Source organism: Homo sapiens, chromosome 12 (assembly GCF_000001405.40).
Source record: "Homo sapiens chromosome 12, GRCh38.p14 Primary Assembly".
NCBI classification, from domain to species: Eukaryota; Metazoa; Chordata; class Mammalia; order Primates; family Hominidae; genus Homo; species Homo sapiens.
This window is the reverse complement of record NC_000012.12, coordinates 121,934,876-121,949,348: the sequence shown is the minus strand read 5'-3', so window position 1 is coordinate 121,949,348 and position 14,473 is coordinate 121,934,876. Positions and strand designations below refer to the sequence as shown.

The 14,473-nt window shown below is 44.1% G+C and overlaps 1 protein-coding gene across 2 annotated transcripts in view; it reads right to left on the bottom strand.

Annotated features, from left to right (window-relative positions):
• CFAP251 (cilia and flagella associated protein 251) overlaps window positions 1-14,473 on the bottom strand; it is an 85,328-nt gene that overhangs the window by 54,571 nt on the left and 16,284 nt on the right. For both annotated transcript variants that reach the window (NM_144668.6, NM_001178003.2), the window contains exons 6-8: window positions 6,704-6,815; window positions 6,374-6,454; window positions 288-365 (exon numbers count right to left, since the gene is read on the bottom strand). In NM_144668.6, coding sequence (NP_653269.3) covers window positions 288-365; window positions 6,374-6,454; window positions 6,704-6,815 — 271 coding nt within the window. The remainder of the gene's footprint in view (window positions 1-287; window positions 366-6,373; window positions 6,455-6,703; window positions 6,816-14,473) is intronic.

Sequence of the window (14,473 nt, the reverse complement as noted above, 5' to 3'; positions counted from 1 at the left end):
AAAAAAACCATAAAACTTGTATTTTAGTCTTGTTAAATAAATTCAAATAAACATTTGCCTCATTACTTCAATAAAATTTAATAAATAAAATTGGATTATTTGCTTTTGATTTAATATGCTAATTTCTAATAGGACTAAATACTACAGTTAAATAAAAACATTTTAATATATATTCATTGCTTCCTAAGTAGAGATACTATATTGTTACATTACTGAAACATTTGTACTCAAAGAATGAACACATACTTCTACCCACATTTAAAACAAATCAAAATATTTCTGCTTACCCATGCATAATATATTGCCCGTGTTTTACTATTGCTCACCAATTCTTTATTATTTGTTGGGTTAAAAGTAACGTAGTTCTGAAATATAAAGTATGAAAATACATTAATGATAAATTTTCTGTTTCTGGTTAAGCTGAATGTTAAAATTAAATAATAATTTTAATTAAAACAAATGAGTAGGAATATAAAACAGAAAAGATACCGCATTTCGTAAAAAAAAATAGGAATATCATTTAAATACTGGTGATTAAAATAAACAGTGTCAAATGTGTTCCCTTTCCAGTTTGATCTATTATAATTCATCATCTATAAATTAGAATAAGCTTTTCTTTTTTTTTTTTTGAGCCAGAGTCTTGCTCTGTCGCCTAGGCTGGAGTGCAGTGGCGCCATCTCAGCTCACTGCAGCCTCTATCTCCTGGGTTCAAGTAATTCTCCTGCCTCAGCCTCCTGAGTAGTTGGGACTACCAGCATGTGCCCCCACACCCAGCTAATTTTTATATTTTTAGTAGAGATGGGGTTTCACCATGTTGGCCAGGCTGGTTTTGAACCCTACCTCAAGCGATCCACCTGCCTCAGCCTCCCAAAGTGCTGGGATTACAGGTGTGGGCCACTGCGCCTGGCTATAACAAGCTTTTCTGATAGTGGTCAATTTAAAATAATAACAATAATAATAATAAAATAAATTGGAACAAGCAAAAGTAAACCAGTATTCACCAATAACCTTTATTCTGTATCCTTTTAGATAAAGACTGCTGCGTATACATTTCTAAATTTGACAGGGCCACACAATATCTTGGAATGAATGCAAGATATTGGAAGGGGATTCTAATTCCTGCCAAGATGGTGAATAGCATGGGCTGCTGGCTCCCTTCCCAAAAACCAACCCTGCAGAAACTATGGAAGTGACGGAAAGTTTTAAATACAGAAACCAAACAGCCACAGCAAGAACAACAAAGCAAGCTCTTCCTGGGGAGCCATGGGGTATGTGTTTGAAATGTGCATGGGAGGTGGGTGGCTACAGCCTGGGGAGAAGGGCTGCAGGAGACAGCACTGAGGGACAGGCTGGAAAAAAGCTTTTTAAGTTCCATTTCTGCCATTTCCACCCCGTCTCCACGCCTATTCCTTACCTATCATTTTCTGAACATTTTATGAATGTTACATACCACAGGGGTGTAAACTACTAATGCCAGTGTTTGAGAATTCATATCAGAACAGCACAAAAGCCTGGGTAGGGTAAGGAACTGGCAAAAGCAAGTGCATGAGGCAGACTTCACAAAGCCTGAAAATCAGCCTCAAACGACCTCAAGCTCTGATTAGATTAAGCTGACCACTCTGCTAAGTGCCTTTAAGGAGCAGAAGTCAGTCTTCTTTGGACGAAGTCATCTCAAGCCTCAAATTTATTTCTACACTTTAAAAAACACAACATCAGGCATTCAGTAAAAAATAGCCAGGCATATTAAAGAGATACATCCAGGCCAGGCGCTGTGGTGTATGCCTGGAATCCCAGAACTTTGCAGGAGGATCGCTTGAGGCCAGGAGTTCAAGACCAGCCTGGGCAACAGAGCAAGACCCCCATCTCAAAAAAAAGAAAAGAAAAGAAAAGAAAAAAGACCCATCCAAATGACTGAAAACCAAGGGGAAAAAGCAATCAGCAGAAAGAAGCCACAGGAGATCCGAGCATTGGGGTTATTAGACAATCACAGGATTAACATGCAGGAAGTAGAGGACAAGATGGGGAATCTCAGCAGATAGCTCTACTTAAAAAAGAATCAAATGGAAATTCTAGACCTGAAAAAATGATTTAAAATGCTTAATAGACAGTTTAACAAAAATTTAGATATAGCCAAAGAAAGAACTAGTCAGCAGGAAAGGAAGACAAATTATAGTAGAAAACATTCAGACTGAAGCAGAAACAGATGAAAGGATAGAAAATACATAAAAGAAAATAAAAGACCAGTGGGACAAGACCAGAAAAGGTCTAACGTATATGTAATTGGAGCCCCAGAAGAAGAATAAAGAAAGAATGTGGCAGAAGAAATGTGTAAAGAGGTAATGGCTGAGAATTTTCCAAAACTGAGAAGAGATATAACATCTCAGGTTCAAGAAATCCTAAAGGATAAGCTTTACAAAAATCAACAACATACCCACTTCCACATAGACACATCATTGAAAAGCTGCTGGGGCTGGTGCAGCAGTGGCTCATGCCTATAATCCCTGCACCTTGGGAGACTGAGGTGGGAAGGTCACTTGAACCCAGGAGTTTGGGACCAGCCTGGGCAACACAGCGAGACCCCATCTCTAAAAAAAAAAAAAATTAGCCAGGTGTGATGGTGCCACCTGGGAGGCTGAGGTGGGAAAATCACTTGAGCCTAAGAGGTCAAGGCTGCAATGAGCAGTGACTGTGCCACTGCACTTCAGCCTAGGTGATGGAGTGAGACCCTGTCTCAAAAACAGAACAAAACAAAACAAAACAAAAACCCTGCTGAAAACCAAGGGAAAAATCTGTAAAATCAGCTGGGGGCCAAGGAGAGAGACACACAACATTCAAAATAGGGATCGACAGCTGACTTTTCAACAGAAATGGTAGAAACCAGAAGACAACAGAATCACATCCTTGAAGATATGAACTGCTGAAAGAAAATACTACCACTCTAGAATTCTATACCACAGGAAAATCTCCTTCAAAAATAAAGACTTGTCCATGAACATTCACAGCAGCTTTATTTTCAATAGCCACAACCAGGAAACAACCCAATGTCCATTAACAGTGAATTAATAAACAGTTACACACCTATTCAATGCACTACTATTCAACAATAAAAAGGAATACACTACTGATACGTGCAACAACAAAACTGAGTGGAAGAAACCAAAGCTCTCTGCAAACAGAGTCCATTTATTGTACATGAAATTCTGGAAAATGCAAACTGATAAACAATAATCAGGATGGTAGACATTAGGAGATGGATGGAGGGATCAGATCACACCTTGGAGGCCACATGTCATGGAATTTTAATGTTATTCTGAGGACAATGAGAAGTTACTGAAGGATTTTAAGTACAGGAGTGATGTAATATTTTAATTATTTAAAAATATGGCCAGGCATGGTGGCTCACGCCTGTAATCTCAGCACTTTGGGAGGCCAAGGCAGACAGATCACAAGGTCAGGAGATTGAGACCATCCTGGCTAACACGGTGAAACTCCGTCTCTATTAAAAATACAAAAAAATTAGCCAGGCGTGGTGGTGGGCGCCTGTAGTCCCAGCTACTCAGGTGGTTGAGGCAGGAGAATGGCGTGAACCCAGGAGGCAAAGCTTGCGGTGAGCCAAGATTGCGCCACTGCACTCCAGCCTAGGTGACAGAGCAAGACTCTGTCTCAAAAATAAATAAATAAAAATGAAAAATAAAAATAACACTCTGGCCGGGCACGGTGGCTTATACCTGTAATCCCAGCACTTTGGGAGGCCAAGGCGGGCGGATCATGAGGTCAGGAGATGGAGACCATCCTGGCTAACATGGTGAAACCCCATCTGTACTAAAAATACAAAAAATTAGCCAGGCATGGTGGCACGTGCCTGTAGTCCCAGCTACCCAGGAGGTTGAGGCAGGAGAATCGCTTGAACCCAGGAGGCAGAGGTTGCAGTGAGCCGAGATCGTGCCACCGCACTCCAGCCTGGGCAACAGAATGAGACTCCATCTCAAAAAAAAAGAAAAGAAAAGAAAAGAAAAGAAAACAAAACAACAACAACAAAAAAAACAGTCTGACTGCTGTGGGAAGACTGTTAGAGAGTGAAGCGAGAGTGAACACAGAGAGACCAGCGGGCCAGATAATGCAGGTAGAGGTGACTGTGGCCTGGACTAGGATGGTAGCAACAGAGGTGGAAAGGAGAGGAAAGATTTCAGGATATGTCTTGGAAGTAAATGGCCTTGGGAATAGATGACAATACCCAAGAAGAAAGCATAGCAAAAAGAAGAAGAGGGCCAGGTGTGGTGGCTCACGCCTGTAATCCCAACACTTTGGGAGGCTGAGGCGGGTGGATGGCTTGAGCCTAGGAGTTGGAGACCAGCCTGACCAACATGGCAAAACTCTGTCTCTGAAAAAAATTAAAAAATTAGCTGGGCATGATAGTGTGCACCTGTAGTCCCAGCTACTCAGGAGGCTAAGGTAGGAGGACTGCTTGAGCTCAGGAGGCAGAGGCTGCAGTGAGCTGAGATCGCGCCACTGCTCTCCAGACTGGACAGCAGTGAGACCCTGTCTCAAAAAAGATTTTTTTTCATTTTAATCATTTTAAATTTAAATCACCATGTGTACTCAGCAAGGTTGCAAGGTACAAAATCAACACACAAAAATTAGCTGCCTTTTTATACACTAGCAATGAACAATCTAAAACAGAAATTAAGAAAACAAATCCATTTATAATAGCATCAAAAAACCACAAAATCCTTAGGAATAAATTTAACCGGAGGTGAAGACTTGAACTCTGGAAATTACAAAACACCCCTGAAAGAAATTAAAGAAGACATAAATAAACGGCAAGGCATCCCATGCTCATGGATTGGAAGACAACACTGTGAAAATGATGATACCATCCAAAGTGATCTACAGATTCAACACTATCGCTATCAAAACCCCAATGGTGTTTTTTGCAGCAATAGAAAAATCCATCCTAAATAGCCACATATGGTTGGTGGCTACTGTGTTAACACAACCTTAAGGAGAAAGAAAAAATTTTTTAGGAGCAAGAGGAATGTTGGGGGGAAAGGAAAGAAGATGGACATATGGCTGCATAACCATATTTCCCTGGCTGAGTCTAGTCACCCAAACCCTCTGTTTGGATTTTAGATCCTGCAAGTCAGGCATGTACTTACCACAGTGCCTGGCACAGAACAGGTACTCAATAAATGTATGACAAATGAAGCATGCAAGGATGAATGAGACAAGTCACAAAAGCAGGGAGCAGTGACTCAGGAAATAAGGAGACCTGATAGAAACTTTCTGGGTGTCCTTGGCAAGTCACCTCATGCAAGTTGGGAGCAATAATGATAACTTCCCTATACTCCTCAGAGTTAGTTTTACAAGGTTTGAAGTAGTTAAGAGCACACTTCTAGAATAAGAAAGACTGCCAGGTGGGTGATTTTAGACAAATTATTTAATAATTAATGGTAGTATTCCACAGATATTAATATCTTTTTTGCTAGCATGTTTGCATGGATTATGTGAGATAATGTAAGTAAAGAATTTAGCAGACTCTGGAACATAAGTGCTTCAAAAATATTAGCTATTATATTCAAGTAAAACAAGATCAGGAAATGAAAGGGTTTTAAAAGCTCTACTGAGGCCAGGTGCAGTGGCTCATGCCTGTAATCCCAACATTTTGGGAGGACAAGGTGGGGAGATCACCTGAGGTCGGGAGTTCAAGACCAGCCTGACCAACATGGAGAAAACCCGTCTCTACTAAAAAAAATACAAAATTAGCCAGGCGTGGTGGCACGTGCCTGTAATCCCAGCTACTCGGGAGGCTGAGGCAGGAGAATCGCTTGAACCTGGGAGGCAGAGGTTGTGTTGAGCCGAGATCGTGCCATTGCACTCCAGACTCCAGCCTGGGCAACAAGAGCGAAACTCTGTCTCAAAACAAAAACAAAAACAAAACAAACAAACAAAAACACTCTACTGCAACATAACACAACTCTACTGAAACAAAAAGTAGGTTTTGGCCTGGCATTTGTAGAACTTTGTTTTTGTTTTTTTGAGACAGAGTCTCACTTTGTCACCGAGGCTGGAGTGCAGTGGCGCAGTCTCGGCTCACTGCAACCTCTGCCTCCCAGGTTCAAGAAATTCTCATGCCTCAGTCTTCCAAGTAGCTGGGACTATAGGCATGTGCCACCACACCCAGGGAATTTTTGTATTTTTAGTAGAGACAGGGTTTCACTGTGTTGGCCAGGCTGGCCTTGAACTCCTGACCTCAAGTGATAACCTACCTCAGCCTCCCAAAGTTCTGGGATTACAGGTGTGAGCCACCACGCCCAGCCTGGCCTTGCACCTGTATAACTTCAGGTTGATGTTTACAGGCTCCAACTGAACTCACCTGAACACCGTACTCTGTGGGGAGTTCGAGAGTGCATGCTGGCGTTTCCACTGCCAAAGTCCACTTCCAGATGCATACCTTCTGTAGGTGACAGTAGAGAGAGGGGCATGAGAAGGTCTGTGAAGTCTGCTGAAGTAACTTACACCTCTTGTGGTGACCCCAAAACTTCAAGTAACTAAGGACAGAGGCCCAGACTCTGTGCTGTGGAGTCTGGTCTTTTGAGAATATCACAGACATCACACAGCCCAGCCTGAACAGAGCTGCCCATGGGGACACGCTGCACAGGTCGGCCAGCTCGCTGATGCTGACCCAAAGGGCCAGGGCCTTTACCTGGACTTCAGCATCTGAGATGGTTGCCAGATACTTGGCGTCGTGGGTCATGGCCATGGCCATGATGCCATTCCCTTCAGGGCAGCTGTCAAATATTGTGTGCACAGGAATACTGCAAAACAGGACAAGGGGGGCGACACTTGCTGAGGTCTCCCTGGCTTCCCAGAGAGTCCCAGGGCAGGTCTGAGCTCAGCCCAAACCTCTCCAAAACAGAACAAAATGTGGTCTATCCATACAGTGGAATCTTTCTGAGTCATAAAAGGGAATGAAGCACTGATGCATGCTATGACATGGATGAGCGTCGGAAGCGATGCTGAGTGAAAGAAGCCAGGCACGAAAGGCGTGTGGTGTATGAGTCCACTCATATGAAACGGCCGGAATAGGCAAACCCACAGAGACAGATAATGGATGCAGGGTGTCCTTCTGGGGCGGTGAAAATGTTTTGGAACTGGATAGAGATGATGGTTGCATAAGAGTGTAAATGTATTAAATGTCACCGAACCGTATGCTTTAAAATGGTCAGTTTTATGTTATGCGAATTTAACCTCAACAACAATAATAGTCAAGCCTAACTCAAGGCAATGGGCCTGCTGTTTGCCCTCTTCACAAGCTCTAGGTTCTCATTCACTAGGTACCAGGCACTGATTCTGTGCCAGGTTGTGCCTGGCAGGAAGGATGTAAATATGAAAAGATGACTAGGACAACGTCCCAGCTCTCAGGGAATCGGGCACTCTCCTACACAGGTGGGAATGCAAAGGAGCAGCACTTTTCTAGAAGCAGTTTGGCTGTATCTATCAAAACCTTCAATGCATACACCCTACAGCCCAGTAACTCCACCCTTACGACTTTTTCCTAGGGAAATCATGGAAAAAGTAAACAAAGGTCAATGAAAATTCACAGTCATCATGGTACTGCTCTAATAGCAAAAATCAAACAACACAAATGTCCCTTAATATACCATACATGAATTATTTAAAAAGATATTATAGCATAACCATATGATAAGAAACTAGGCTGGGCACAGTGCTGCATACTGGTAATCCCAGCACTTTGGGAGGCTGAGGAGGGTGGATTGCTTGAGCTAAGGAGTTCAAGATCAGCCTGGACAACATGGCAAAACCCTATCTCTACCAAAAATAGAAAAATTAGCCAGGTGTGGTGGCACGTGCCTGTGGGCCCAACTACTTGGGAGGCTGAGGTGGGAGTATCGCTTGAGTCCAGGAGGTTGAGGCTGCAGTGAGCCAAGATCACGCCACCGCACTCCAGCCTGGGTGATAAAGCAAGATCTTGCCTCAAAAAAAAAAAAAAAAAAAAAGGCCAGCATGGTGGCTCACACCTGTAATTCCAGCACTTTGGGAGGCCAAGGCAGGTGGATCACCTGAGGTCAGGAGTTCGAGACCAGCCTGGCCAACATGGTGAAACCCCGTCTCTACTAAAAATACAAAAAATTAGCCAGGTGTGGTGGTAGGCACCTATAATCCCAGCTACTCGGGAAGCTGAGGTAGGAGAATCACTTGAACCCAGGAGGCGGAGTTTGCAGTGAGCCAAGATTACACCATTGCACTCCAGCCGGGGAACAAAAGTGAAACTCCATCTCAAAAAAAAATAAAGACATAAAAATAAAAAATAGAAATAAAAATAAAAACTTTGCTGCCTTCAAAAAGAATGAGGTAGATTGGGAAAGTGACCAAAATTTGTGAAAAAAGCACACTGCAAAACAATCGCATCATCCTAATCATGTGTGTGTGTGTGCGTGTGTATGTATTGAAAAAACTCTGGAGGAATAGACTCCAAACTGTAAGCAATGGTTCCTCTGAAGATGGGGTTTGGGTGAGGAGGAACTTTTATTTTTTGCTCTTACATTTCCATACTGTGTTACTGACAAGACCTTAGAGCTGTATGATTCCAACACAGCCTTGAAATACCCAGAATTAGATGACATGCAAGTATCTAAGACAGCCAAAGCACAGAAGCAGTGGAAGCGAAGATGGAAGCTGTAATGGTTGGGTTGGGGGAGGTCTGCTGATTCCCACTGGAATGAAAAGTAGGTGGTAGCAAGACTTAAACCAGGAATGCGGGTCACATGGTTCTTTTTTGTTTGTTTGTTTGTTTGTTTATGGAGTCCTAGATACAGTGAAGATAAACAGGCCTCAGCATCTCTGTATGTCACGCTAGGGTCCCAACTGGCTGGTATCAAGTCTGTGTCCCAGCTGAGGACTTCTCTGGTTCTCTGTCACTGGAGAAACTTCATCCTACTGAGAAGTAGCCCCAGAAATTCACCTGGGAAGGCAATTCCAAAATGATTGGAAATAACACAGTGAAGTCCTTAGTGAGAAAATGTATCTCATCCCTGGAGATACTTGGAATTGAATATAGAGAAGATGAAGTCAGTCAGACCTGCATTATTAACATATTTGTGATAAGAGAATTTGTTCATTTTTTAGGAATTTGTAATGTTTAAGTGAATTTGACATACCAGAGTTGCTAACAGATTAGATTTGTGATGCTAATTTAAAATATATAGTTGATTTAGACTTGTGATTTTAAATTAAAATCGTAATAGGTTTATAAACAATATTAGAACACTTAAGGAAACTTAAGATTTACCATATTTATGTCTAATTTACTAGATTTGCAGTAATTACTTAAGTACCATGAAGGATTTGTTTGTTAATCAGACTACTAAAAAACGTAAAGAAACTAAATCTCTTAAATATTGAAATGCAGTTTTACATGTTTAAAAGGAGTTAATAACCAAATTTGTAAGTGGGGCCAAACATTAATCAAAGCCTCTTCAAAGGTGATTGCAAAAATATGCTAGATTTATAAACAGAGTAAGATTTTTAAGCTGAGCGAAAAACTGGAGGAAGAACTACGGTTTTTAATTTATCACTAATAAAATGAATATTAATCCTAAAACCAAAACAGCCTCTGAATAATCTTTTCTGGGTCCCAAAGTAATCACTTGGGATATCATAAAATTCATATTAACATAGCATTTGCATTATTAACCACAGATATGCTTTACTGTGAAATTTTTTAAAAAAAATCACTGCCCTCAAGTTGCTTCATGTCTAGTAGAGAGAGAGTTTCACAAATAAGGAAAAAACAGTGGCTCCACATCATAACGGGGCAGCTCTGTCTGGTGAAGGTGTTGGTCAGCAAAGGCTTCAGAGATGAGACACACCTGAAGGACTCTGACCCTTCTGCCGGCCGACTGCAGGCTTCTACTGCATGAGATAATACCCTTCCCTTGTGGTTAAGTTGGATGTGCCAGTACTTGCAGCTGAGAGCGTGTAGCAGCCACAGACGGCTATGGGTGCAGGCAGCGGGCATTTCACTTTCTGGGGGAAGTGTCTGCAGGGCCCTAATGCAGGGTGCGTGTCCCCTGTAGCATAAGTTGATTTGACAATGGACAGTCTCTAAAGGGTTTTAATCAGGGTGGCAACACAATCAGATTTGTCTGGGAAAACATCACACCAACAATGTTGTGGAGACAAGCTACATGAAGATATCCATATACGTGTGTTCAAAACAAAAGCAAATGTTTTGGAAGGAAACACACCAAATTGATTACCTCTAGAAAGAAGACTAAGATCGGAGATGGCAGCCAGTGCTTTCCATGAAAATGTATCAGTTTTCATTAATTTTTTTTTTTTTAGATGAATTCTCGCTCTGTCGCCCAGATTGGAGTGCAATGGCACGATCTCAGCTCACTGCAACCTCCGCCGCCTGGGTTCAAGCGATTCTGTCTCAGCCTTCTGAGTAGGTGGGATTACAGGAGTGCACCATTATGCCCGACTAATTTTTTGTATTTTGTATTTTTGTAGAGACGGGGTTTCACCATGTTGGCCAGGCTGGTCTCGAATGCCTGACCTCAAGTGATCCACCCGCCTCGGCCTCCCAAAGTGCTGGGATTACAGGCATGAGCCACCATGCCCGGCCTGGTTTTCATTAAATTTAAGAGTTTTCTATTAAAATGTACTAAAATCATTTTTTTACAAATTAAACAGATGAGCCGGGCATGGTGGCTCACGCCTGTAATCCCAGCACTTTGGGAGGCTGAGTCAGGTGGATCACTTGAGCCCAGGAATTCGAGACCAGCCTGAGTAACATGGTGAAACCCTGTATCTATTAAAAAAAAAAATACAAAAAAATTAGCTGGGTGTGGTGGTGTACACCTGTGGTCCCAGCTACTTGGGAGGCTGAGATGGGAGGATCATCTGAGCCCAGGAGATAGAAGTTGCAGTGAGCTGAGATTGTGCCACTGCACTCTAGCCTGGGCAACAGAGCGAGACCCTGTCTCAAAAATAACAACAACAACAACAACAACAGATGAGGCTGGGCACAGTGGCTTACAGTTGTAATCCCAGTACTTCGGGAGGCCAAGGCAGACGGATCACTTGTGCCTAGGAGTTCGAGACCAGCTTGGGCAACATAGCAGGACCCTGTCTCTACCAGAAAAAAAAAAAAATTAGCCAGGCTCAGTGGCATGTATCCATGGTCCCAACTACTCAGGAAGCTGAGGTGGGAGGATCACTTGAGCCTCGGAGGCCAAGGCTGCAGTGAGCCATGATCACACCACTGCACTCCCGCCTGGGTGATAGAGTGAGACCCTGTCTCACAAAAACAAAAACAAAACAAAAAACCAGATGAAAGACTATACATTGTTTGATCTATCCATACAATGTACTGTGATTCCGCCATAGAAAGGACACGTGCCACACCACGGATGAACCTTCAAGCACGATGCTAAGTGAAAGAAGCCAGACACAAAGGCCATGTATTGTAGGGATGTGAGATCAGAGAAGCCACAGGAAATGAAGTGTTAGATGCCACAGAGAAGTCAAGTCAGATGAGGATCAGGGTTGGGTAATGAGATCCCCTGGAGGTCACTGGTCACCTGTGGGAGAGCAGTTCCTGTGTCCCCCACTCTAGAACATTCAACGTAACTTCTTCCTAACCTCCTCGTGCATCTGGACTCACTTGTTGAACTCTTCCCTCCCCACCCACCTACCCAACCAGGCCCTAACAATCTTGTCAGTGAAATCTGACTGCTCTCTGCCTCAGGCCAGGAGTTAAGAAAGAAAACCCATCTAGGATCCTCTATCATGGCCTGGTGCTGCGCTCTAGTGATCCTCACAACATCCTGTGCATTGGGTTTAATGGGCTAAGTGGTCCCTCCAAACTCAGGCCCACCCAGAACCTCAGAATATGACCTTATTTGGACACAGGTCCTTTGTGGACATAGTTAGTTAAGATGAGGTTGTGCTGGACTGGGGTGGGCCCCAAATCTAATGCCCAGTGTCCTCAAGAAGACACAGATGGATGCATGGTGGGAATGTCATGGGAAGATGGCGGCAGAGATTGGAGGGATGCGTCCACAAGCCAAAGACACCAAGGGTCACCCGCAGCCAGCAGAAGCAAGGGGAGAGGCCTGGGACAGATTCTCCCTCACAGCCCCCAGAAGCAGCCAACCCTGCCGACACCTTGGTTTCAGACTTCTGGCCTCCAGAACTGCAAGAGAGTAAATCGTTTGAGGTAATTTGTTACAGCAGCCCAAGGAAAGTAAAAAACAGTAGATGTCATTATTCTTTTTTCACAAATGGGAAAGTCACTTTCTTCTCTGGGCCTCCAAGTCACACAGCAGACCACGGCTGACCGGGCATGGAAGCCCAGGTGGACGCCAGAGCCCACACTCACACCTGCCTCCTGCCACCTGCTCTTTCATGTCACTCTGAATTCCCCTGGGCCCCTTCCCTTCTCCCCTTCCAATTATCCTACCCAGGCAAGCCACCACCAGTCACATTCCCTGTTCTTATTCCCACCCTGCCCAGCACGGCTGGACAAGCATCACCACCCACCCACCATCTGCTGCAGGCTCATGCTTTTTGTCCCCAACCAGGCCCCTCCCTGAAACCCTACAGCTCCTTCCCTTCATTTGGTGGACCTCTACTGCATTCTCATTGATTACAGCATGTCACATCCCACAGCCCAAACTAGCAGCCCCATTCCCAATGTCCTCGGCAGATAAGACTGCCTCCTGCTTGACGGCTGTCACACAAGGTGGCGTGTTCAGCCCCACAGTATCCCCCAACTGCCTAGGCATCATCTTGCCCAGCACTTTGCAAACTATCTGTGGTGAAAGATATTTTTAAAAACTTTATTCCTTTGCAGACCAATAAATATTTTTTTCCTTGAGACAGGGTTTTGCTCTGTCGCCCTGGCAGGAGTGCAATGGCACGATCATGGCTCACTGCAGCCTCAAACACCTAAGCTCAAGCCATCTTCCCGCCTCAGCCTCCCGCGTAGCTGGGACTACAGGCATGCACCACCACATGTGGCTAACTTTTAATTTTTTGTAGAGACAGAGTCTCACTATGTTGCCCACTCCTGGCCTCAAGTGATCCTCCTGCCTCAGCCTCCCAAAGTGCTGGGAGGCTCCCAAAGTGCATGAGCCACTGCACCCAGCCCAGGTCAAACACTTTCACAAAATAAAAATACCATAGCAAGAACAAATTGCTATACAAGTTCCCAAAGGCCCCCTCTCATTTTCTGTACTTTCTGTTCAGCATAGCCCAGGACCAGCTGACAGATGAGCTCAGCCTGCAGACCACACTTTGAGCAGCACTGCCCAAGCCCACGGAAATTCCACCTTTCCTTGTTGGATGCACTATCAGAAAAGGGACCAGAAAAGGTGAATTTGATGAGTTAGGAAGAAAGGCAATACCGGATGACAACCTTGATACCAGAGAGACTCTCCATTCAGTCTGCCTCCAGCCGGGGAAGGAGGAGAGTGAGTTACAGAAGCAGATACAAGGAGGGAACACAACCCCGGCCTTCCGGACCCAGCTCCAGTGCCAGAGAGTCCGTGGGCTGTCAACCTCCCCTCACCACCTGGACTGGTTTATCTGACGCTTGATCGAAGTGAGCCTGCCTTTTACCCCCAGGTTAAGAAGGTCACTGCAACTCATTTCTTAGACACCAGAGTGTGTCAAAAGGCTGGTAGGCTTATCACGAGAAAACCATCAGACACAGTGCAATAGATGGAGACCCTACCAAATCCCTGACCTGTACTCCTTAAAACTGTCAGTCATCAAAAACAAGGAAAGTCTAAGAAACGGCCATAGCCGTGCAGAGCCTAAGGAGCCATCACAGCTAAATCGAATGTGGTCTCCTGGGTGGGATCCTGGATGTCTGTTAATAATAATGTGTCAATATTGGTTCATGAATTACAGCAAATTGATCCTACTAATGTAAGATGTAACTAATGTGGGAACCTGGGTGTGGGGTTTATGGGAATCCTCAGTACTATCTTCCCAATTCTTCTGTAAATCTAAAACTGTTCTAAAAATAAAAGTCTGTTAATTTAAAAAAGAGAGAAAGAGAGATCGGATGCGGTGGCTCATGCCTGTAATCCCAGCACTTTGGGAGGCCGAGGCAGGAGGATGGCTTGAGCCCAGGAGTTCAAGACCAGCCTGGAAACAAAGCAAGACCCCATCTCTACAAAAATATAATACAATAAAATAAAATATTTAAAAAGAGGCTAGGCAAGGTGGCTCATGCCTATAATCCCAGTGCTTTGAGAGTCCAAGATGGGAGGATCTCTTGAAGCCAGGAGTTCAAAACCAGCCAGGGCAACATGGCAAGACTTCCTCTCTACAAAAGTAAGTTAGCCAGGTGTGGTTGCATGCGCCTGTGGTCCCAGCTACTCAGGAGGCCAAGGCAGGAGAATCTCTTGATCCTGGGAGTTCATGGCTGCAATGAGCT